This window comes from Homo sapiens, chromosome 12 (assembly GCF_000001405.40).
Source record: "Homo sapiens chromosome 12, GRCh38.p14 Primary Assembly".
NCBI classification, from domain to species: domain Eukaryota; kingdom Metazoa; phylum Chordata; class Mammalia; order Primates; family Hominidae; genus Homo; species Homo sapiens.
This window is the reverse complement of record NC_000012.12, coordinates 66,789,767-66,815,024: the sequence shown is the minus strand read 5'-3', so window position 1 is coordinate 66,815,024 and position 25,258 is coordinate 66,789,767. Positions and strand designations below refer to the sequence as shown.

At 37.0% G+C, this 25,258-nt stretch overlaps 1 protein-coding gene across 13 annotated transcripts in view; it reads left to right on the top strand.

Moving 5' to 3' along the window:
* GRIP1 (glutamate receptor interacting protein 1) overlaps nucleotides 1-25,258 on the top strand; it is a 721,908-nt gene that overhangs the window by 254,314 nt on the left and 442,336 nt on the right. For 6 of the 13 annotated variants that reach the window (NM_001379348.1, NM_001366723.1, NM_001379347.1 and 3 more), the window contains exon 1: nucleotides 10,756-10,972. The exons of the other annotated variants lie outside the window; for them this stretch is intronic. In NM_001379348.1, the coding sequence (NP_001366277.1) occupies nucleotides 10,840-10,972 (133 nt within the window). In that variant the 5' untranslated portion in view covers nucleotides 10,756-10,839. Of the gene's footprint in view, nucleotides 1-10,755; nucleotides 10,973-25,258 lie in introns of those variants that run through there. 13 annotated transcript variants of the gene reach the window in all.

Genomic DNA, 25,258 nt, shown 5'->3' with positions numbered 1-25,258 from the left:
TTGTAATCCCTATAATCCCTATTTGTCAACCGCAGGACCAGGTGGAGGTAATTGGATCATGGGAGTGGTTTCCCCATGCTGTTCTTGTGATAGTGAGTGAGTTTACATGAGATCTGATGGTTTTATAAGTGTCTGGCATTTCCCCTGGTTACACTCACTCCATCCTGCTGCCCTGTGAAGAAGGTCCCTTTGCCTTTTGCCATGATTGAAAGTTTCCTGAGGCCTCCTCAGCGATGCAGAACTGAGTCAATTAAACCTCTCTCTCTCTCTCTTTGTTAAATATAAACTATAGTCTCGGGTATTTCTTCATAGCAGTGTGACAGAACTAATGCATATACCTTATTGATTTATTTATTTAATTTTTCTATAAACTCATTCTCCCCCCAGAATGTAAGCTTCATTAAGACATGGTCATTGCTTTTTTTTTTTTTTTTTATGGTATCACTAGTACTTAGTGCAGCTGGACACATAATAAGTATTCAGTAAATTCTTTGTTGAATTAATAAAGGGACAAATATATGTTAGACTATCGGAATGTAACAATAAAAAGGACAGTTCTACCTTGAACTCACAGTTAAATAAGCAGATAATTACAAGGTTTCATAAGAAGCAGCTATAATAAAGTGAATGAAAATGAAAAGAAGGCTCCTTTCAGTAAATTAACCCTTATTATCAATAACAATACATTTAAATTTTTCTTGCTATGTACCAATCTCCAAGAGCTTCATGTACTCATTTAATACTCACAGCAATCCTATGAATATGGTACTATTGTTTATCCTCATTTGTAGATGAGGAAATGGGGTACAGAGAGTTTAACTTGCTCACAGTTGCACAGCTGAAGGTGGTACATTTACTTCTAAAATAAAATTCATAGATTTATAACTATATATAAAGTATGTAACTATATATAAAATTTATAACTATATATAAAGTATATACACATAATATAGACAATAGTTTAAGGCACAACCCTTAAACCTGTATCTCCACCATTATTCCTATCATAGTAATACTATCACAGTATTATCCTTCCAGTTATTCACACCAAAAGTCAAAGAATCATGCTTGATTTCTTTCTGAGAACCCTATTTCCACTCTTGCCCATTTTCCATAAACAACCAGAATATTCATCTTAAATGTAGATCATGTCACTTCCCTATTTAACACTGTGCACTGAGTTCTATGTGCTCCTAATGCATGTGGAATAGAAGCCCACAATTTGTATCTGGGCCTGGAAAGCCTGAGGTGAGCTGGCCCCTGTCTGCCTCTTTAGCTTCCTCTCCTATTATTCTCCACAGTGGTCACCTTCCTGTCCCTGGCACAATGCCAACTCAGTATTGTCATCCTTCCTGTTCATGCTGTATCAAAGGTACTGCCCCCACACCTTTGGTTGAATGGATCTTCTTGTATTTTTTAGGTCTTTGCTCAAGTTGTGTCTCCTCCTGGTAATGTTTTCTCAGCTCTCCCCATTCAAATATAGCCCCCAGAGTCACTTCCATTGCATCACCTTGTCACTTCTCACCATTGGAAATTACTTTGATGATGTATTTACTGTATGTTATCTGTTTCCTCTGATATGGTTTGATGTGTCTCCCCTCCAAACCTCATGTTGAAATGTGATCCCCAGTGTTGGAGGTGGGGCCTAGTGGAGGTCCTTGGATCATCGGTGCAGATCTCTCTTGAATGGCTTAGTGTCATTCTTTGGTGATGAGTGAGTTCTCTCTCTATTAGTTCACATGAGAGCTGGTTATTTACAAGGAGCCCGGCACCTTTTCCTCTCTCTTGCTTCCTTTCTCACTGTGTGATATACTTGCTTCCCCTTTACCTTCTGCCATAATCATAAGCTCCCTGAGGCCTTCACCAGAAGCAGATGCCTTTACCACATTTCCTGTACAGCCTAGGGAACCGTGAACCAAAATAATCCTCTTTTCTTTATAAATTACCCAGTCTCAGGTATTCCTTTATAGTAACACAAACAGACTAACACACCTCCTCATCTATAATATAGCTCCATGAGAGGAGTGTTACCCTCATATGCACTGTTCTATCTTTAGAGTGTGAATAGTGCCTGGCACTAGAGACACACAGGAAGCATTTGTCGAATAAATGAATCAGATTTAGTGTGAGACAAGCACATATTCTTCATAGTTCATGGAAACATACTGTTTAAATTATTCAAGGGCCTTTAATGTTTTCCTCCTAAAAAGTATGTCAAACACCAAAATCAACCAGCAAGAATGTGAAATAGGACCAGTTCTAAAAGTTGGTCAAAGCCATCATGGATTAAACATCTAGCATGTGACTGGCACTAAATACATTTTATAGGGCAAAAAAATGAATCCTTAGAGCTGTAGACATTCTAAAAGTGTAATTTAAGCTAACAGTTTTAAACTCTTTACTTGAACTTGTAACTAAAGCTACTATCAAGGCGAATGATGACTTAGAATTTTCCCTCCATATTCTGTTTCACACCTACCGCATAATAAATATCGAACATGTAATTATGTGTGTGAAGAACAATTGAGTAAATAAATGAACAAACAGACGAATGAACCAGATAAATGCTCAATAATAAAAGTAAAGAGGAGGCCAGGCACAGTGGCTCACACCTATAATCCCAGCACTTCGGGAGGCCGAGGCAGGCGGATCACTTGAGGTCAGGAGTTCAAGACCAGCTGGACTAACATGGTGAAACCCCATCTCTACTAAAAATACAAAAAATTAGCCAAGCATGGTGGTGGGTGCCTGTAATCCCAGCTACTCAGGAGGCTGAGGCTGGAGAATTGCTTGAACCCGGGAAGTGGAAGTTGCAGTGAGCCAAGATTGCGCCACTCCATTCCAGCCTGAGTGACAGAGTGATACTCCATCGCAAAATGAATAAATAAATAAATAAAAGTAAAAAGGAGAGGCAGAAATGCTGGATAACTCAAATTGGATAAATGGCTGTTAAAAAATCTAAAACTCACAAGTGCTTTAAAATACTTGCTATTAACCCAAATAAGTTTGCTTGTAAATCATAGCTAGGATTGGGGGCCAAAGAAATGGCTTTAAGAGAAAAAGGCCGAGAAGGCAGGAAAGATGAATCACATGGCAATGCATTTAGAGACGGAAAAGAAGAGAAATTTAAATTAGATTATTTATGACAGCTTAGAAGTGAGACCACAGGAACAAATTTAAATACCAAGAAAATGTTCCTGTAGCCAAATGAATAAATAAAATTCTCAGCTTTTAGAAATTCAGTACTTGGGTAAAAACCAACCAACCAAGAGACAAATATAAATAAATAAATATGTATAACTTAAAGTAAGTAGACTTTTCTTATCTCCAAGTAGCTTGAAAAGAACAAGTTGGCAAGGAGAAAGAAGGGAAGGAGGGAGGGAAGGAGGAAGAGAGGAGAGAGTCAGAGAGAGAGAGAGAATCAGAGAGAGACAAGGAAAATGGAATGAATTCCGGGAAATAGAAGGCATTAGGTAATATATTCTTCAGAACCATCAAACATTGAGCTTAAATAGATTCCGTGAAGTCTCACAATTACCTTAAAAGACACTATAATTAGCACTATATTTTTCATCACTTCAAAGCATCTAGCTGCATAAAAATAACATCTTGTAGCTAGAAGAGACTTTCTAGTCCAACTCTTTCCTCCTAAGACACATACACCTTCAGGAAAAAATGAGTTCCGATACAATGAACATTTTTGAAATCCTTATAATAGTCAGAACGGCACACTTAGCATTTTACATTCAGAAATTATTTTTATGCTTTTGCTCTTTTATGCTCATTCTACACTTATTGAATGAACATATTCTATATGGTAGAAAAAAAGTAGAAAAAAATCTTTGAAAACTCAATAACCTCAGTTATCTGAGCCCTTTGAAGCCTAATATATTTGCAGTCTCAGAATGACTGCCTGACATTTCATTTTGCAAGAAGTCTAAACAACCACAATAAATTTACAAATGCAGACATGCCACAGTTAAATTTCATTTCATGCTCAGTAAGCAAACATTATCAAACTGTAAGCACTGTCCTCCACTGTCTTTTTAACTCAAAATCTTGTAGCCAATGGAGGGTCGACCTTGAAATAGCTCACAGATGGATGAATTGGCTTAATTTATTCACCAATTTGCAGATGAGCAAACTTAGGGTATATTATCACTGTTTAGGCAGGTGGCTCTATGCTTTAATAAACAACACAAATAAGTAGAAATTGGACAGAATCAAATTAGAGACCCAATTAAGAATTATTTGTGGAAAAAGTCTTTTAAACATAGTAAGTATTTTTTTCTGTATTTTGGGTTATCACAATGCTGGGGATTGGGGATTATTGCTAGCATTTCGTGGATGGTGGCTGAAAGTGCTAGAAATATTAAAATGAGGGAGACGTGGTTACAAACGGAAAATTTATTCTGCATCCTATCTACCTCACATAACTATTATCAGTAAAAACTCTTTTTTTTCCTTGACACAGGGTTTCACTCTCATTGCCCAGGCTGGAGTGCAGTGGCGTGATCTCGCTCACTGCAACCTCTGCCTCCCAGGTTCAAGCGATTCTGCTGCCTAAGCCTCCCGAGTAGCTGGGATTACAGGCACGCACCACCACACCTGGCTAGTTTTTGTATTTTTAGTAGAGACGGGGTTTCACCATGTTGGCCAGGCTGGTCTCAAACTCCTGAACTCAGGTGATCCACCCGCCTTGGCCTCCCAAAGTGCTGGCATTACAGCTGTGAGCCACCATGCCTGGCCAATAAAAACTCTTATAAATGAAAATCTATTTATAATTATTTGAGCCTAGAAGCTAATACTGTTATACAGACATGAAGTATTTTTCAGTTTTAGTGTACAGTGAATATACTGGTTTTTATTCTGATATCTACCTGTCTACCTTTTTATTTTCTGTATGATGTATGGAATGGCTTCTGATCCCCTCTCAAATTCAGAATTATTCATTAGAAGTGGTTGCAAGGATTTAACTATATTTTCTGTTGTAGCAATGCCCTCAGATCCATTTATTTGAAATATGTATTATTAAATATATATATCAGCATTAAGACATTTTGTGTTTAAGCCAGGTGTGGTGGCTCATGCCTGTAATCCCAGCACTTTGGGAGGCCAAGGTGGGCAGATTGCTGGAGCTCCGGAGTTCAAGATCAGCCAGATGGTGAAACCCTGTCTGTCTCAAAACAAAACAAAAATTAGCTGTATGTGGTGAGACATGCCTGTAGTCCGAGCTACTCAGGAGGCTGAGGTGGGAGGATCGCTTGACCCTGAGAGGTGGAGGCTGTAGTGAGCTGTGATTGCACCACTGGACTCCAGCCTGGGCAACACACCAAGATTCTGTCTCAAAAAAAAAAAAAAAGACATTTTGTGTTTAAATTATGTGCTCATGAGTTACATGATCTATGAGTTTCAGTTAGTAAGAAGGGATATTACAAATCATTTGCTACAATAAAGTAGGAGTGGGTCTAATGAGAATACCATTAGTGCCAGAGAACAGAGTGTTTTTTTCTTTCCCATTCTCATCCTCAGTAGGTCAGGGTATCTCTCCCAAGGCTACATGAAGGCTGCAGCGATTATTGGCATTGCGTGCAGATGCTATGAAATCTAAAAGGGCCAGATTAATTTAATGTCTTAAAGATTTCTCTTATAGACTGTGTGTTTCATACTGTTACTCAAAAAAAATACTATAACCATTACTCAATTTAATTATGCATTGAAGGGAACCCCCTAATCGCTGATCTAGGAAAGGTTATAAATTGAAGATTTAATCTCAATAGCTGGTCCATTTCTTTTTTCCTAAAAGGGGATGAAGAATCCAGTTCAGAAGAGTACGGAAATCATGTAAATGCTATATAGGCAATTGCCTACTTCCCAAAAAAGAAAATAATTAGTACTTGAAAAATACATATTTGTTAACATATATTTGCCCTTGCTGGTTGAAATGCATTTTGTTGAATACTTCAAACTGCTTTATTTTCTCATGTGAACGAATTTTTCTAATAAATTTAATATTATAGTTTAGTGAACATTTAGCTCAACTGATAACCAATTTATTATAATAGCCTGCTTTCTTTACATCAAAATATAGGGGTGCTGGAATTTCTTTTAAAGTAATTAGTGTTTTGAGACTGGCTAGTCAGGATAGTACTTCAACCATTGTTCACAACATTTATGCCTGCAGGGGCCAGGTGGTAACTGAATGATTGAATTGGACCCTGGGGAGGGACTCTAGCTAAATGGAAAGCACATGTTTATTTATGGGTGGCAGGCAGCCACCACTCAGCTCTAATCAATAGTTGCCATATTGGAATCAGGCTCAAGGTTACCAAATCTTTTGCTATTTCAAGACAAAAACAAACGTTTGATTTATTTATGAAATCTCTTGACTTTAGATGTTTGCTCAGTTTAAAAAAAAACAAAACAAAACAGAAAAACAGTGGCTCATGCTTTTAATCCCAGCACTTTGGGAGGCCGAGGTGGGCAGATCACAAGGTCAGGAGTTTGAGATCAGTGAAAACCCGTCTCAAACAAACAAACAAACAAACAAAACACAAAAAGTAGCTGGACATGGTGGCAGGCGCCTGTAATCCTAGCTACTCGGGAGGCTGAGGCAGGAGAATCGCTTGAACCTGGGAGGAAGAGGTTGCAGTGAGCCGAGATCGTGCTACTGCACTCCACCCTGGGTGACCGAGCTAGAGTCTGTCTCCAAAAAAACAAAAAAACAAAAAACCAAGAACAAAACCACAAACATTCATGTGAGCCAAACAAAATGTATTTGTGGGAGATAAACTGCCATTCTGTGAACTGCCATTTGCAACTTCTCAACTGTCCCATCAGTTTAGACTATAGAGTGCAATAACTGATAAATAGCACCTCTTACTGGAGTTTGTGGTATGGAGTGAAAGGGCCATTCTCTCTACGCAAAGAGTGGTACACCTAATTGAATGGACTTGAACTACACTACTAATCTGTCAGTTCTTGGTTGTATTATAATAGCTAACTGTTAAGCAATTGTTAAACAACAGTTAGCTATTATAATACAACCAAGAATTGACAAAGGGCTTTAGGTTGGCCCTTTATTGCTAAACATGGATCATTTTAGTGCAGAAGATGGGAAAAAATTCAGAAGTGTATTAGTCCGTTCTCACATTGCTATAAAGAAATACCTGAGACTGGGTTATGTATAAAAAATAGGTTTAATTGGCTCATAGTTCTACAGGCTGTAAAGGAAGCATAGCGGCATCTATTTCTGGGGAGGCCTCAGGAAGCTTCCAGTCATGGTGAAAGGCAAAGGGGGAGTGAGCATCTCACTTGACCAGAGCAGGAGCAAGAGAGAGAGGGGGAAGGTGCCACACTTTTTTACTCCATCGCCCAGGCTGGAGTGCAGTGGCGGGGTCTCTACTCACTGCAAGCTCCACCTCCCAGGTTCACGCCATTCTCTTGCCTCAGCCTCCCGAGTAGCTGGGACTACAGGCGCCCGCCACCATGCCTGGCTAATTTTTTTGTATTTTCAGTAGAGACAGGGTTTCACCGTGTTAGCCAGGATGGTCTCGATCTCCTGACCTTTTGATCCACCTGCCTCGGCCTCCCAAAGTGCAGAGATTACAGGCGTGAGCCACCGCGCCTGGCCAGGTGCCACACATTTTTAACGGGCCACATCTCATGAGAACTCACTCACTGCTGAGAGAATAGTACCAAGGGGATGGTACTAAACCATTCATGGAAAATCCATCTCCATGATCCAGTTACCTCTCACCAGACCCCACCTCCAGTGCTAGGGATTACAGTTTGACATGAGATTTGGTGGGGACACAGATATAAACCATATCAAGAAATATGGACCCAGGAAAATTGAATAAAATGATCTCGTTTACCTCCGCCACCCCTCAGGCAGAGCACCCGGTGTCTAGTCTTCTGTCTTTCAGATTGTGGCCCATATACTCATGCTTTCCCTCCTTCACATCATCTGTTACAACATCCTTTCATTCTCTGTGACCCAAGTGGACCTCCCCTAAATAACAGCTTCCTTATCCTGGCTTCCCAAGCATCTCTGATTGTTGTAATGAGCTTTTACACCTTCTGCTGTATGCCTTCAAATATATGGCTAAACTCTGAACTCCTCCTCCCCAGCACCACCAAACCACATCTCATATAAAAATTCTATCATTACAGATACTGAAATGTTAACAAATGTAATCCTTCAGAAGTAAAAAAAAAAAAAATAGGTGCTTATGTACAATTTCTGTTTATTTCTGAAAACAGAGTTTGGTATGTAGATAATTTTACTTTGTCTGCATTAGTTCTTGTGCAAAAATAGTTGCTTACCACTGCTTGAGAAAATCAGTCCCTTTAAATACCAAAATTAAAAAATCAAACTCTAGTGAAATGTTTTAAGTTGTTCTATGCAAAAGGGATCTTCTTTGTATTAAAGAGTAAAGCACCATCTCTTCTGTAAGTTAGTCCTTTTAGATTGAACTGGGAGCTTAAAACTACAAAACTTAATATGGACTCTACTAATTTAAGAGTTAAAATTCAAGTGTAGTTGCGTAAAATTTATTGCCTGCATTATCTCTGGGGGACACATATACTTGAATTAATCACATAAACCAAGATATATGTTTGGTCCATTAAAAATGAAAGTTGACAATTTTTTCAAATTCCATTTCAAGAGAAAATTTACATAGAAAAGAATGAACTTGAATGCATGTAATTCTTAGATAGACAAAATAATCTCTGAACTGGTATGAAAAATACCTGCTACTACCTGCCATGATAATATTAGCTTTGTGATCTTGGACAAACCACTAAAACACCATTGAACCTTTTTTTGCTCATCCATAGAGGTATAATGACATTCACCTCATTATTAGAGCTGTTAGGTTAAATTAAAAGATTGTGTATTATTATTGTCATATATTTAGTGACTATTCAGGTCTAAAATCCAGATCTTCAAATTTCTCATTCATTATTTGTTAATTGTTCTAGTTTGTTTTGGTTGAGGGAATCAGAATAATAAAGGATTTGAAACCAAAAAAAAAAAAAAGAAAAAAAAAAGAAACCTAAGGACAAGTGATTTTTTTAATTTAAAGATGTTCATAAAACATTTTATAGCATCTTTTTGTCAGCATCATTAAGTTAGTGTTTCTTTCCACAAACTTACTCCTAAGGCATACAAAATGGGAAACTTCTGGGAATAAAGGAACTTCACAGAACCATTGAAAGTAACTACATATTTTAGATGTGATATGTTCTTGGCTGATGAATATTTGCCTTTCTAAGTAAATTTCTCCCTGCTCCATCATTATCAATTTATATCTGAAAATAGGGAACTGTGTAAATCTAGAAGACAGACAAATTGCTTGTGAATCTAACAGAGAGTGCAAAGTGCAGTCAGTTCCCTCTGGGATGATCCTACAAACTTGACATTACACAGATATTGAACTATCTTTATTCAGTAAGAAGGCTTTTTAAAAATTATATTTCTGGGAACATGGAGCTGCAGTATATCATTAGTTTCATAGGTAATATGCTGACATGCTTGATTAATTATATTGTAAACAAATCAGATTTTTCCTGGTGTTAAAAGTTCTCTTTCGCTTAAAGACCTGAAGAAGAAAGAAGCTATAGAGAAAAAAAAATTATTCATGATTAATGCTGACCTCTCTAGACTTTAGAGTACCTCTCTCGTCTACTATGAAGTGTTTCTGATTGTGGTTCTTAAAAATAATTTTTTAAAGCTTGTGATTTTTAGAGATAAAGGATGAACAGCATGTGAGCATATTATGAAATTTCTCTTTCCACTGTCTTCACCAAGAAGAATTAAGTTTTGTTTGCTGTTTAGCCCATTTACTTTCATGTTTTTTTAAAAATGTAACAATTGAGCTAGGTTTATATTTGAGTTCAGTCTAAGTTGAGTTGGATTATTTGTATTTCTTTTCCCTTAAACCAGGCAGTTTCCTTTATTTGCTGATTATGGTATGCTGTTACTAAGCCTATGAGAAGCTTCTCTGTGAAGTGCATTTTAATATTTAAATCAAACAGTGATTGGAATACATTAATGCCCAGTGGGTAAACGTGTCATTTGAAAGCAGCTGCTGAGCCTTCTCCCTGCTGCTCCAATTAACACATACTGCACACTCCTGTCAGCAAGAGGGCTGTGCATATGGATGAAACCACTTTGCTGCTTATTAATATGATATGCAAGGGAGCACAAAGGGTTAATCAGTACGCCCATTGCAAAACAATAGCTTTTCAAGAGGTTTCCCAAGCACATGTTTTGAGATAATGTGGGCTAGGATTAGGGTGTTGGATTAGCAGGTAGGAAAGTCAGTTCAGTCTCTAACTTTGGTTCAGTCCATTGACTAATGTGTTTCCCCGGCCCTCCCTTCTCCTATACCCCCGCCCCGATGATGAGATGATGGAGATATTGGATAGTGAAATTCTCGTGCTGGGACTCCTCTTGCCTCAGCTGAATCTCTTGAACTTTGTTTTGAAGCTATTTAAAGTCCAAAGCTTTGCTGTTTGTTTTTTCTCTTAGTCTTTTATTACCATTTCATTTTCTTTCTCTTTTCCTCTTTTTTTTTTAAAAAAATTACAGATTTGACAGTTTATTGATCTAAATGAGAAATATTGTCAAGGTAAACCCATATCGCTATTATTTTCTTTCCCCTCCGATGGCCAAAGTCGCCGTGTTGATGGTAGCCCAGAGGTAGATAGAAGGGTAGCTGTCCTGGTCCAGGTTTGGTATTGGTCATTCATGCTCCACCGGCTCGCAGAGCAGCTGGGCTGTTGCTGTGCTCTTGTGCTAGCTGTGCCGCGCTGCACGGTGAGTAAGAGATGGACCGCTTCCTGGGTTTTGTCAAGGCGATAAGAAGATCTAGGAGAAGAAAGGGGAAAAAGTACCGACCAGAAGAGGATTACCACGAGGGCTATGAGGATGTCTATTATTACGCTTCAGAGCATTTTCGAAGTAAGCGCTTCTCTCCATCCTCCGGTTCCTTCTCGCATGCTGGGGCTAACAATAAACCTTGTGTGGAGCCTTAATCTTAAATGCAAAAGGTTTCTCAGATGGTGTTCTCTGTGAGCAGTCTGTAAGTACTGAAGTGCTATGTTTTGCTTGATTTGTTGCAAGAACAGCCATTAGATAATAGCATCTAGACAGTGTCACCAGCCAAGGTCTGTACACATCGTTAATATTTTAGGTGAAATTAATTATGTTATTTTAATAAGCCATTCAAAAAAGTTGCAAGCCAACGTAGTAGGTGGCCAGAATATGCTCTGTTGTAGTTGTTGCTTTCCTTTTTCTTTCAGAATAGGGAAGGCTAGCTCATTTGGAAGAAATAATTGTTCATGTTCAAGTTGATGTTAATGCTTAATGCTCCTGATACAGACTTCTAGACAGTTATCTGTGATTAATCTCAGGTGTTGTTTGTACAAGGAAGTTCAAGTACCTTTCTCTGATGCATGTTTACAATTTTGTTATTAAATAAGGTTAATTCTTATTTGCTGTCAGCTAGAAGCAGTGATACCTGTAGTATCCGTAATATGTCTATATTGAGACATTTGAAACTTAGCTTATAAATAGAAGAGAACTAGCAGTTTTCTTTTATCTGTCAGCGCTTTAAGTTTCTGGTAAGGTTTAGACTTGTCCCACTAGATTTAAAATGCCCAGAAATGCCTAAGGGTGCAGAGAGAAAGCAGCTATGCACAGAGATCACTGAGTTTATGATGTGCCCCAAATGGGGGAAGATGACAGTTATGTATGATCTACATTTTTAAAAAGCTAAAAATTATTTATTTGTCTTCTTCAATAAGGATCTTTATAAACTTATATTTCAATTCTAATTCGTTCTGGTCTTTTGATGTCTAATCATGAATGCATCCCACTTATAAACTCTGAGCATTAACTAATAAATAATTTAAATCCCAATTTCTGTGGTATTGAAAGCCATGAGAATTCCTTCTAAATGCTAGAAATTCTGTTGCGATTGATGAAGACTGAGGGTTGAAAATTCATGTGGTGGCAATAATACAAGAATGTAAAATTGTAATTATTTGATATTTGCTTGAATAATGTGGCTGTATTGCTTTTACCTGAGTAACCTCGGGGTTTTAGAGATGTTTCTCTTTTAAATGTGTGCACATGAATAATGTGTTCTGATAGAGTGACACTCTGTTTCCTAAATTTTGTTTCCGTACTATATCCTAGAATTTAACTAAAATTTATGTCACATCAAAAAATATTGTCAGATTGCATGTGTAATTCTGAAAACTCAGAAACTGAATAAAAGGAGCTTATGAACTTTTAATTAGACTGGTAGACATTGTACAGATTTTTTGCAGTCAATATATACTGAGTCAGATTCATACCATCTCAGGTTTGTACCATGATATATGTTTGTAGAAACAGAATTGAACAATATTTCTCAAATGCCTGCATACTACTAGCTTTGGTAAGAATTTAAAAACAATAGAATTACTCTGTAAGTTTATAAAATGTCTTGACAAGAAGAACTATATATGGAGGTATCTAAGAAATATTCCCAAACTAGAGTTAGGACAATTATATAATGAAGATAGTAAGTAGTCTTTATACATTAAGTGAAATAACTCAAAGAGAATCACGTTTTATCTCATTTGTCAAGGCCATGCTAAGGATAAGATGTTAAATATCAAAAGTCATTTCCTTTAGATATGAAACTGACATGTTTTTCCTGTGATTTATCAGAACATACCCATTATGTAATATATAACTTGTGGAGTTAGTTGCAAATTGGGTCCCCAACTTGAAACTACTACATAATAAACAGAATGTGTCAGAGTGGACTCAGGCACTTGGGATTTGGCATTTCATCAAATGTCAAATAGCCAGGGCTTTTAAAGAAGATAAGTCATATAATACAATGACTTCTCAGTGCATCTTTTGGCTTCGGTTTCAGGGCTTCTCTGAATTGGGTAGGGGAGACATCCACTTACATCTTAGAGCTGTAGAAAAGCATTAAAGAGTGAGACCGACCTTAAAACCAGTCCTCTCAAATGGGTAATATGGTTGCATTCAATTACATCTACAACATATCTGTTTTAATTAGTTTTTGGCATAATTTAAACGTTTATACCCCATGTGTTTCTCGAGACGGCTTAGAAAAACTATCTACATTAAGGCTGAAAACGTGGTGGAATTTACTGATGATGTTCACATCTTAATGATGCTATTGATGAACCAGAAGTGTCATTCTTCTTTTTCTCCCTAGAGTGTTTACTTCTTGAAAGAAACTTAACCCTCTGTCTTGTCAGTTTTTCCTTTAGAGAAGATTGCCACAAGAACTTTGTATGTGTAATAATGAAATAGTCAGCTAAAAAGAACCTCCCAGAAAATTCTCCAAGTCTGTCCTCCCTGTAGTACATTTTCCAGTTCTGATATTTAATTTTATCCTAATGTCTCTTCTATTGTGGGTTCTGATTTAGAATTTCACCACCCATTCCTTCATCTTAAATACAGCATCACTTATAATCTTGTTAAATGCCAGAGTCTGAATTAAAATGTCCATAGGGTGAAATGCTATGGAAAAGAAGTTATTTTAATAATAGATGACTTTTCTGAAATTCCATCAAAACTCAGTTTTAGCAGTGACAATGATGATAGAATGATTTTAAATCTCCTCTGACTTTATATTGACTTGATGTATGTCAATGTACATGAGATGGCCATGTTTGATTTTTTTAAAAACTGCTTTCATCACTCATCTATCCTTCATAATTCTAGAGTTAGAGTTTAAATAAACTAGACAGACGCATGCTTTGGGTAAGTCACCAAACATTTCTGGGTTTTAGTCTTTTAAAATGTGATACAAGGTGGCTTTGTCCCTAAAGCTTTTCCCAGTTATAGAACTATATTGTATATATTTTGAACTTTGCTTGATTTCCAAAACAATTTAGGTAAAGGTATTGACTGGAGAATTTTCATTGGTATTCAAGGCAAAAAGAAATCACCTAAATATCCTGAGGGAATTGTTTTTCTGACAGGAATGCTCAGTGGGGAGAATTCCTGTTACTTTAGGGTCATAATCTATCACTGAATATTAAGTAGTGTTGGAGAATTTTGATAAACCTTTGAAATTCTGAAGATGTTTGTAAATCCGAGACTGCATTTTTTATTTAATCGTATCCACCAAGAAGCACCATTTACTTTTTGAAATTCTCACAAAGATGATTCATTTGGTATTTTTCCTTGAGAAAAACTTGCTTTGATTACAAAACTGTCATAAACTTGAATGTAGTGAAGAGCTAGAAAAGGACCCTAACATTCCATTTTTTTATGTTTGGTGTTTTTGTTTTTCGCTAAATACTGTGTTATGGTAATGTCTTTTTATAGGCTCTGGCAGGTCATATGTTAATTCATGTGTCATACAAAAATAAAATGTCTGATTCTATTGTCATGTGTATTTTTATTTAGCCACACCGGATAATATTCCAGCTATAAGACAGATAATGTATATTAAAGAAGCAATCTCTTAACACTGTGCTTATACATAACAATCCTGACCTCTTGCTGTCCATGCAGCTGAATTACTTGAGAAAGAAGAATTTGTTTCTCTCTTATGAATAGAGGTATGTGAGCCACTCTCATGTACAGCGCTAGCATCTTATACACCTGTGTAATAGTATGGAATTAGGAGTGGGACTCCTCCATGGTAACTGCTGTTCTTGGTCTTCCTGACTCTCCTAGATTGAAGAAAAGCTGTCTGGGAAAGCTCTCAGGGCAGTCATTAGTGACCAATTAACTTTTCTTACTGGGGTCATTTCAGGGAAACTGGAGAGAGGGAGGAACATGAATATGGCTTAGACCTTCTGAATAAAAGGGTCATTTGTATGTACAAATTATTTCATTTGTTGTTTTGTTGTTGTTGTTTGCCTATTCTAATAGATATTCAGCAGTAATTGTGATGTGTGTGTATGAAATCATTGTTAGCTAAATTATTTTATGATGCATTGTATGCATTTACAATTCCTAGTTAGGCAATTCAGGCTTTAAAGTGCCTTAGATATTCAAATCGTATTTTAAAAGGGTGCTTCACTTTCTTTCATGTCATTGAAAAACACGATGCATTGTTCTTCTTAGAGGAAAAACAATATTGACAGTGGTATTTGTAGAATGATAATTTTTAGGCTGTGGTGTGGGTGATTAGATAAGTAATTTATTCTTACTGGTTCCTTTAGAGTTTTCCCCCTTTGGTAAATTCATGTAACCACACCCTCTCTGCTTCAGGAAACTGACGTCTAATTAGGACTTTCTTTCTTGATAAGTGTGCCACAAGGCTAGAGTGAGAACTCTGACATATACTTTGGAAAGATGCCTGATTTGTGCAGAAATATGTGCAAGAGCTGAACACATAATCAAAGGGAGTCTTGCCTTCCTCAGTCTGTGGGGGATGACAGGGAAGAGGAAGGAACTGGGGAGGGGAAAAGGAAGGAGAGAGGGAAGCACATTTCATAGGCTGTCCTTACTTCTCTAGTGCTTACAAGCATAGAAGCCATTTATTTCTATGTTAAAAATAGTGGGATCATCAGACTGACAGGTCTTGGATGTGAAATCCTGAATGATTCAAGCCTTAGCTGTATTTAGTTTAACTCAAAAAATCCCGAATGAATTAGAAGAAACATCAATTATAAAGAAATAGGGCAAACTTGCTTGTTTTATGACTATACTGCTTATTTTTCTTCCCTAAGAATTGCTTTCCATCTATAGTATATTTGTCTTGTTGAAAATTGATTGGCTATCATGTTCCATGGGCTGGTTATTTTGTATGACCAACTTTCTTGTCTCAAGCTATATTTTTTTCTATATGGAATAAAGAAATACTAAAGTTGAAAGGGACCTTAGAATCTACTTTGTCAACCTGAGTATATTTTTAGATAAAGTAACATATACAAACAAGTTAATCAACTTACGGAGTCCCCACTGATTGTCGTGGAACTGGGAATAGCAGCCAGACTCCCTTATTGGGTCTGGTCCTTCACCTCTCATCCCCACTTTTGTTTTAGCTCACTGATGAGCCTTCTGATGATATTTAAGGTCCAGGATCATCTACATATAAATTGTAACTACTTAGTTCCCTGATAGGTGGCTTTATTTTTTTGAACAGTAGGCCATCTTATCTTAAACTCCTGAACAAAAACAAACTCCTGATTTAATACTGCAAGTCAAATTAATATGATATTATATTTACAGATGATGTTAATTAAAGTGATTGTCGGTGGCTCAAAAACCATAGGTGATTTTCTGTGTCACCTGTCATTTGCTCTGTGGTTTGCAAATATAGCTACCTTCATCAGTGAATATTATTTCAGGGGACTTAAAATGGCATAATTATTTCAAACAGTATTAGAGTTAGGAGGGACTTCGGAGTCCAGTTAGTACGGCATGCTATCTGAAATAGAAGGTCCTTCTTCAATATCCCAGCTATATGGACATCCAGCTTTCATTTAAATCGTTCCAATGTGAACATGTTCATTTCCAGACAAGGCAAGTTACTGAATAAACCTATGCCTCCTTTAAATACATTGTAAGTTATATGTTAAGTTGCTGGCTTATTTCAAGAAATACAATATGTGTTCAAAATCTATATCTTGACCCAAATAAACATAGACTCTATTGAATTTAATGTGCAATAAGATTTCATGCCTCCTTTTTATTCACATTACTCTTTCACGGATGTAACATATGGCATGTGGAGGTGAGTAATTCCTTCAATGCTATTTCTGTTTTAACTATACAAACACAGAAGAGCTCTGTATTGGGCCCACATCCATGTGGTAATTTTTATTTCTTGTTTTCTACTTATTTTTTGTTGATTTCTACAAGATCACCAAGGCTTCTATTTATTTAATAAAAAGCATATTCTAGTGCTTTCTGTTTGCATGATGTAGTGGTCATCATTTGTCTGCCTTAAAACTCCTTTTTCATTCCCCTTGGAAGAGCAATGTTCATATTTAAAATGCTCCTGTTTCTCCTTCAGTTCTGTCATTATTGATTGATCAAAACTGTGATAATTTGGGTTACAATTATAGAAAACTACCACGTTTTAGTCTTTAGTGATTTGTCTGTTCATAAACAGCTAGGTCAATCAGAATGCTCCTGTGAGAGTTTGCAAATTCAACTCAGTGCACTGTGCTCATGGAGAAACCATTCTGGACTGGGAGGGAATCAAGCCCACATCCAAAGGAGACAGACATGAAGGATCAAGAGGCTCCTCTCAGGGTTGTATTCACTAATTCCAGTCCTTAAGGTCTCTAGGTTAGAGAATTAGAAAGGACCAGAACTCAGATTGGAACTCAGATCAGCTAGTTTCAAGTTTGATAGTGTTGGTAAGCTCTTATTTGGAAAATATGATTCTTTAGTTATTTTCATTTGATAGTAATAAATGCCACCGATGGAAACTATATTCTTTCCATAAAAGTTCCCATCCTCCCAAAATATAATTCTCTTAATGGGACTAAAAAACTATGTGACTTTGGATGAATCACCTGGGTCAGTATGCTTCTTCAGTTTCCTATTTGTAAAATGGGGTTCTAAATCCCAGTGGAGAGTGCTGAAGACCCCAGAGAGAGAGGAATCACTGGCAGGTGTAGTCAGTAGAGCTGTGTCTCCCCAGGGCAGCATACATCCCAAACAGCTGGAAGAAGGGGATAGCTAGTGGGCAAATTTGGACAGATGACGTTCCGCTTAGCAGCATAACTGCAGTGCATTTAACATTCTTTGCCCTTACTTTTCATTTAGAGAGTTAAGTCTTGTTTTAGAGGGAACACACAACTTCCCCATGTACCTCTCACCAGATCATTCACCATGATGCCAGATGGAAACATGCCTAGTGGTGTATTAGAATATAATAGAATTTTTAATCTGCTTTTTAAAATTTGAAGTGTTAGAATTCTACCCCACTATCTCACTAACTATTACATAATCTTACAACCAAAAAGCTTTTCTGAAACATCCAACCATGGGACTGAGTTATTTGGATCTGTAGATTTAAACTAAACGTCAGCAAGTAGGTTTATAGATATGTAGAAACTGAGCTGAATTTCAGTTGATATCCAAACCTTTGAAGACCTCTGTTTTAGAAATTATTTGAACTGGCTCAAAATAGTATGAGATTGTGACTAAATAAGTTATTCATAATTAATAATATTGTAAATAATAAAATATAATGCTTGAATTTTCTTCTTACCATCTTTATTCTTTCAAGAATAGGAAGATTGTATTTGTGGTAAGCATCCCACCATTTTTATTCATTCAGCAATTACTTGATGATGCACGTGTCAAGAGTCATTCTACATGCTGGAGATACCGTGGTACAGAAGACAGAGGAGGTCCTTGCCCTAGTGGAGTCAGCAAGCTAAAAAGAAAACAGAAAAACTAGTGGCAAGTACAATGAAGAAAACCAGATCAAAGTTTTGGGATGGAGTGGTGGAGGTGTTGAGAAGGGTGAGCGTTTGAGATACAGTGTTCCTTCTTGGAGAACAGGATGTTGGGATGACCCTGATTGAAGAGATGGAGTCATTGTATAATCTGGATAGGAGGCTGGGGCATAAAGCCTCCAGAGATAAAAGTGTATTCATTCTAATACAGTACTTCCCTTGCCATCTTCTGGATGGCTTGTTTCTTTGACATTCATTTGTTAAATCAGTTTTTTTTTTTAATTCCGAATCCATTTTTTCCTAGGAATAATGCACTCAGAATAGGAAAAATGTAGATTTAAAACCAGGCCTAATCATAAAGTCTTTTTGCAATATGTCACTAACAGGTAAAAGACGACTGTGGCCAAAGGGGACATAGTTACTGGAGAAAACCTTTATTTTGCAGGACTGCTGTTGCTATTCACATAGAGGAGTCTTCTGTTAGTATACTATTGCAAAGTTAGGGATTGTCTAAAGTGGGGGTGGTGATTTGGGGGTATGAAAAGATGGTTTGCTCTGTCTGTAGAATAGTGTTAGTAAGTGTGTCATAATCTTCTCTGTATTTGGATCCTAAACATCCATTGAGCATGATTCTTAAGCTAAAAGTACACTTACCATGTCATCAGAGGATACTAAAATGTATGATTGCTTTATAGTCGTTGTTTGTTTTCTGTAGAACAAAATTATTTTATGCTTCTCCCTAGTCTTTCAAGTGCACTCCATTATAAAGATTCTTAATGGCTTTTGTATGTCCAAGGAAAGATTATATGTCAAAGAAATTATTTCCAGAAAGTGCACAAAGTTGTACAGGGTCTTTCAGGTTACAGCCCACAGCATCACCATCTTCTGTGCTTTGTGGAGAATTAGACCCTTTATATTGCTATTGTAGATTATGTTACTATCAATAGATAAACAGGGAATTGTATGTTGCTTGTTGGAATAAGTTATTTTCTACATAACTTACTATGTGTTAAATATGATTCAGAGGATTGGACTTTTATGTTTAAAAATAAATTTAATGTAAGATGAAATTCCTGTTTTCTGATAATTATCTGAACTGCTTTTCACGATTGAGTCTAGCCAACAAACTTAAAATTTATGTGTAGTTTCAGAACAGTGGCAAACATTTTGTGAAAACAGGTGCTTTTGATTACTGCTAAGCTGGTCTTATGTTTTCACATTGTGCTTCTGCTGGCAGTAGTATGTGGTTCCTGAATTTTCAGGTGCAGAAAATAACATTTGATTTGTGAAGCCCCATTTTTGAGATAAAACTAGGCACATGTCAAATGTAAGCAATATGGAATGTGACGCCAACAGTGGCATCCTTGCTGATTCTAAAAATTGGATATAGGTTAACAAATTGCTGTAGTGGAAAGTTTTACAAATGATTACAGCTCTGGTTAATACTTGTTTTTGTAAACTGTAATCTGCCTGCAAAAAATTAACTTCTGCAAGTATTTTGAAGACATGAATATGAACTTATACCTTTAAAAACTTTGCTCAGTACATTTCACCCTGCTTATAATCGTGATCACTTTTAGGGGAACAGCTGTTAAAATTTAGGGTGAGATGTACGGGTGCTCAGCAGTTGGTTGTAAATTTCCACTTTATGGATTTACAGTGGTCTTTCATTATTGAAGTAGAATTGGGGAATCCCCATCACCTTAAAACTGTTATTTATGGCTGGTTTTATCTACCAATGCCAAGTTTTCATGATTTATAGGAACAAACACCTCTCTCTTTTATTCTTAAAAATTCCAAATCTTCTGTGTAATGGTGTTTTTAGCACTATTTGGAAGATGATCAGGCATAAAAGGAATTTTAAACCTAAGAACTGTTGGGATCTTCCAATCCAGCCCTCTGATTTTACATAAATTTAATATCTCTAACAACAGAGTAATTTGCTCAGTAATTGTTTAAGGCTTAAAGAGAGAAAATGTCTAACTCAAGATTACACAGCTCAGAATAGAAGTAACGTAAGTATTTAAGTCTGTGAACTTGGTGTATTTTTAATCGTATCCTCCCCCATACACTTCCCATTGCTTCAAACACTGCCTTCATGTGAAATTTCCCACAACCCTGCTCACTCTCCCAAGGGTTAGCCCTGGAGCCCCTGTGTATGTGAATGGCACCCCCAATTACTCCATCGTTTTGTGATTACTTACATACAGTGTCCTTTTGTGAGTGCCATATCCTCATCTTTGTATTCCAGCATCTAAGACAGTGCCTGGACCATCTATAGATGTTTCTGTCTTAAAAAGCTGTGAAGAAGACTGATTCCCATAAGCCACCCACAGAAACCTATCTCATTACTTTGTAGTCACTATTCGTGTATTTGAAATGATTAGGAAGTTTAGAAAACCATACTCTGGCTGTAAGAATCTTAGTTTGCCATATCAATGATTCCGATGCTATTCCTCTCCATCTACTACTCTGTGTAGCACAGGAAAACACAGCTCCTGCAACAGATGTTTTGAGAATCCAAATGCAAGGAAAATAGAAGGGGAAAGCAGTGTTTATACTTTATAAGATTCTTATAGACCTACCTTTTTCTTTTCAACACATGCTACGAAGTTTATTATGCTTGATCTCCTGAGATCAGTGCATGCTAGGCCCTATGCTTCGTAATTTATGTGCATTAGCTCATTTAATCCACACAACTCCATGAGACTAATACTATTATCTTTATTTTCCAGATAAAACTTGAGCCAAATGAGCTTAATTTTCTCAATGTTACACAATTGTCGGTATGTTAGCTATTATCAGCCAATATGCATTAAGCACTACTATGTGCTGAGAGCCATGGCAGGAATATCCCAGCTCCCAACTGCAGTGCTGTGTGCCATCCTTCCCCATGCTGCCAGTCAACTGTGCCTTCATGATGGCAGCCTCCATCCTCGTGATGGGTTGATAAACTCCTGAGTCAGCTTGGATATAATTCCACGGCTCCAAAAGGAGAAAAAGCAGCAAACGCAACATGCTGTTATGACTAACCATTTTTGTAATGAGGTGAATGTTCTTCTCAGTACGTTCATTCAATTATTTTGTATTCAATTATACTTTGAATAGGAGAATTTACCTTACACTCTAGTGTGACTTTGTTGTTGTTGTTTTTTTTCCCACTGAATCTGAAATTAGGGACTGATGTATGTAATTCACAGCATACTTGGACTGGAAGAAAATTTATCACCAAGGTGAGCAAACAGATCCAGTTTAGAGTTGGGACCTTGACTCAGCTTTGTGTATAATCCCTCAGCAACGTAGTACAAGAGCAGGAGGGCTGTGACATTGTCCTGTGTCATGTCCAGCCATCACAATATTTGAATATGAATGCATTTTGTGTCTGTAATACCTAGAACTCAAATTGTGAAAAGTGGAACAGTAAAAAACCAATGCATCTATATAAACAAAAATGTGAATGTGGGTATAAAACTTTCATAAGATCAGAGAGTTCTCTGAGGAATTCCAAATAAATCTAGAATTCATGAGAATTGGAAAACTATATAGGAACTAGTTTTATTTATTTATATTTTCTATTGCTAAGTCACACATGAATCATATTCTCCTCTTCCATGAATAAAGTAAATACTTACATATCAAATTTACTGATAGGAAATATTTCTCAAAGAGAGTAAAATTATTTACTATAAAATATATGCATTTTTAGTGAATATTATTTGGATTATTGGCAACAGTGGTCAGGGAACTCTTAGTGTCAAGTTATGTAATTTATGTTATCCAGTTTGAGCTTGGCTTTGTTAAAGTGTTCTACTTGGAGTGTTGTAATTTTCTCAGACAATTAGGTATGTTTTCTTTTCATTTAGAAGGTTTTGTTTTTTACTTTTTAGTTTTTACTTTGTAAAGTTGAGTGTTCCTCAATCAGAAATTGCAATATTTTATTTAAATGAGACAGAGATCTCTTAGTTTGAGTTGTAATAGCAAACCTCAGAGATAGTCCCATATAGCCTGGGCAACATAAGGAGACTCTGCCTCTATGAAAAATTTACTTTTTAAATTATTTTATTTTGTAGATATGGGGTTTTGCCATATTGCCCAGGCTGTTCTTGAACTCCTGAACTCAAGCTCACCCCTCGGCCTCCCAAAGTGCTGTGATTACAGGTGTGAGCCACCATGCCCAGCTCCTACAAAAAATTTTAAAATTAGCCAGTCATAGTGGTGCGTTCCTGTAATCCCAGCTACTTGGGAGAAGGGGGTGTGGACACTGAGGCAGAAGGATCACTTGAGCCCAGGAGGTCAAGGCTGTAGTGAGCCATGATCATGCTACTGCACTGCAAAAAAGAAAAAAGAAAGAAATGGTCTGATATGATTTGGAGTTGTTTGATGTTATGAACAAAGTGCAAATATTAAGCTTTGTAGAGAAAAGTCGTAGTAAAGTGTATCATTTCTAAAAGCTCCAAATCAGTTCTTTTGCTTTGTTAAGCGTATTTGGTAGCTCTTACATTTATCAGGTTCTTTCTCTATTTTTGTATCTATTTTTCTCCTCAAAAGTTTCATAAAATCTCATTTTCCCACCTCTTTCTCATGAGAAATCCAGAATGTTAAACTTTCCAGGCCCTTCAATTCCCTACCAGTCATCCCCACATGTGAGAACATTGTTGACTTCTCTAACTCAGGAATGGCAAATCAAATGCTGCATGTTCCCATTTTTGAGTGGGAGCTAAGCAAAGACATACGGAGTGGTACAATGGACACTGGAGACTCAGAAGCAGGGAGGGTAAGGGGAATGAGGGATAGAAAACTACATATTGGGTACAATGTACACTATTCGGGTGACAGGTGCATTAAAATCTCAGCACCAGTATACAACTCAGCTGTGTAACTAAAAACCACTTGTACCCCAAAAGCTGAAATAATACATATCTAATATTAAGGACATCAAAAAAGAGTATTGTTGAGTTATTCTTTGATTAGGTATTCAGTTCCCTGATACCAGGCCTGATACCAGGCCCCTCAAGTATTTGTTTCTCCTCGAGACTTCATCCTTACAACCCTGCCAATGCTCAACCTTAGCTCCATCAAACCATCTGTGGTCTTCACTCCTGCTACTGACATTACTGGAAGAAAAAAACTGTATAACCATGGTGGTTGGCTACATTACAGATTTATGAGTTCCAGCCTCAGCTGGTTTCTCAACACTAGTCATCAATCTTTTGTCTTTATCTCCAGCCACTCTCTTTCCCTTTCCCTAAGCAATTATTCCCAAATCGCACCTCTCTTCTGAAGTCCCAGTCTGCTCCTCCCATCCGGAAACACACTCTGAACTGAAGATAGAGGCTACTTCTTAGTTTACTTGACTCTGCTTCTCCCACCTTCCAAATATCTTTTACAAAAACTTCCACTATGCAGCACGTACTTTCCTGTCCCCAAAACACAAAGCAGATGCCTGGTTCACTTAGAGTGATTGAGCGATGCCTTGTGGCCCTCTGGATTCTGCACCTGCCATTCTACTGAAAAGGATTCAGCAGAGATCACCAGCGATCACCTTATTCCAAATTTAGTGGTCTTTAAGACTTTCTTAACTTCGTTGAGCTTCCTGTAGCAACTGTACCAGTCATCATTTTGGTCTTTGAGTCTTTCCTGTCTTGGCTTCTGTGACCCATCTTCTTTCCAGTCCTCCAGCCTCTCTTTGATACCTTCTCCTTCCTCCCGCTCCTTCCCCTTAACTCTGGGGTTCAGCACTGGCCCTTCTAACTCTCTGAATTCTTCCTGGGCTATCTCCGCCTCCCTCGTTTTGTAATTTAGATGTCACAAATGAGCTCTGGATCTATCTTTCCAACTGTCTTCTGGGTGGTGCATTACCTCAGATTTTGACTTTTCCTAAACTGAACTCAATACCTTAGCTCCTACCCAAATATGTTCCCAGTACCTTTCTTCTCTCTTTTAGCTATAAAGGCATTATCCTCTAAAAACTAGGAACCTTGAATTCATTTCTCATTCCTTACGTTATCTAAGTTTTCTATTATATTTTATCTATTTCATCTACTTTATACTTCATCTTTGTATTCCCTCTGCACCCGGGGTAGTCCATAGTTAGAGCTTAATAAATGTTTAATTTTATTTTATTTCACACCAAACTGTAGACAACTAGAATAGTGGATTTCAAGGGACAGATCTATCTCCAACTTTAAAGTGTATATTAATATTTAGGCCTACTGGAAAGATACTTGACAGTTTACGATGCCTCAAGGCTAAAATTTTTTGAGGTAAAGTATTCTGTTCCTGTCATAGTACTTATATTCATGATTCTGACCTTGTTCATTAAAAGCAAAGTGGGCAACTTGAGTCTGAAGGACCTATGTAGCTGGAAATATTAGCTTGGAGTCCAGAATTCAATAACCATTGATTGCGCAGTCCAAAGCAGTTTATTGTTGATATCTTTTCCCTAAAATGAAATCAGTTATTCTTGCTGGTGCATTTTTATTAAGGGATCTGCTGTTTGGACTAGAATTATAAATTTAAGTACAGTGGCATATTGAAAATAAAGTGTTTTTCAGTGACCTCAAAATGTTGATCTAATGAATCACAAATTATATTAAAGCTTAGTGGAGAAGGCAATAGAAGTAATGATAACATTTAATGGATTCTAAATGGTAGCTCTAAACACTTTAAATTTAACATCAAATAAAATTTTTTCTCCTTTTTATAAGATAGAAACTTTTCTGCTTATAAAAGTTATTAATTGGTCTAATCAAAATGATTAGAATTTGCATGTTCCTTGTAATTTTCATTCAGTTTTTCTGTAAACAATTACTGTAACTATCTTGTCACAGAGAATAAATTA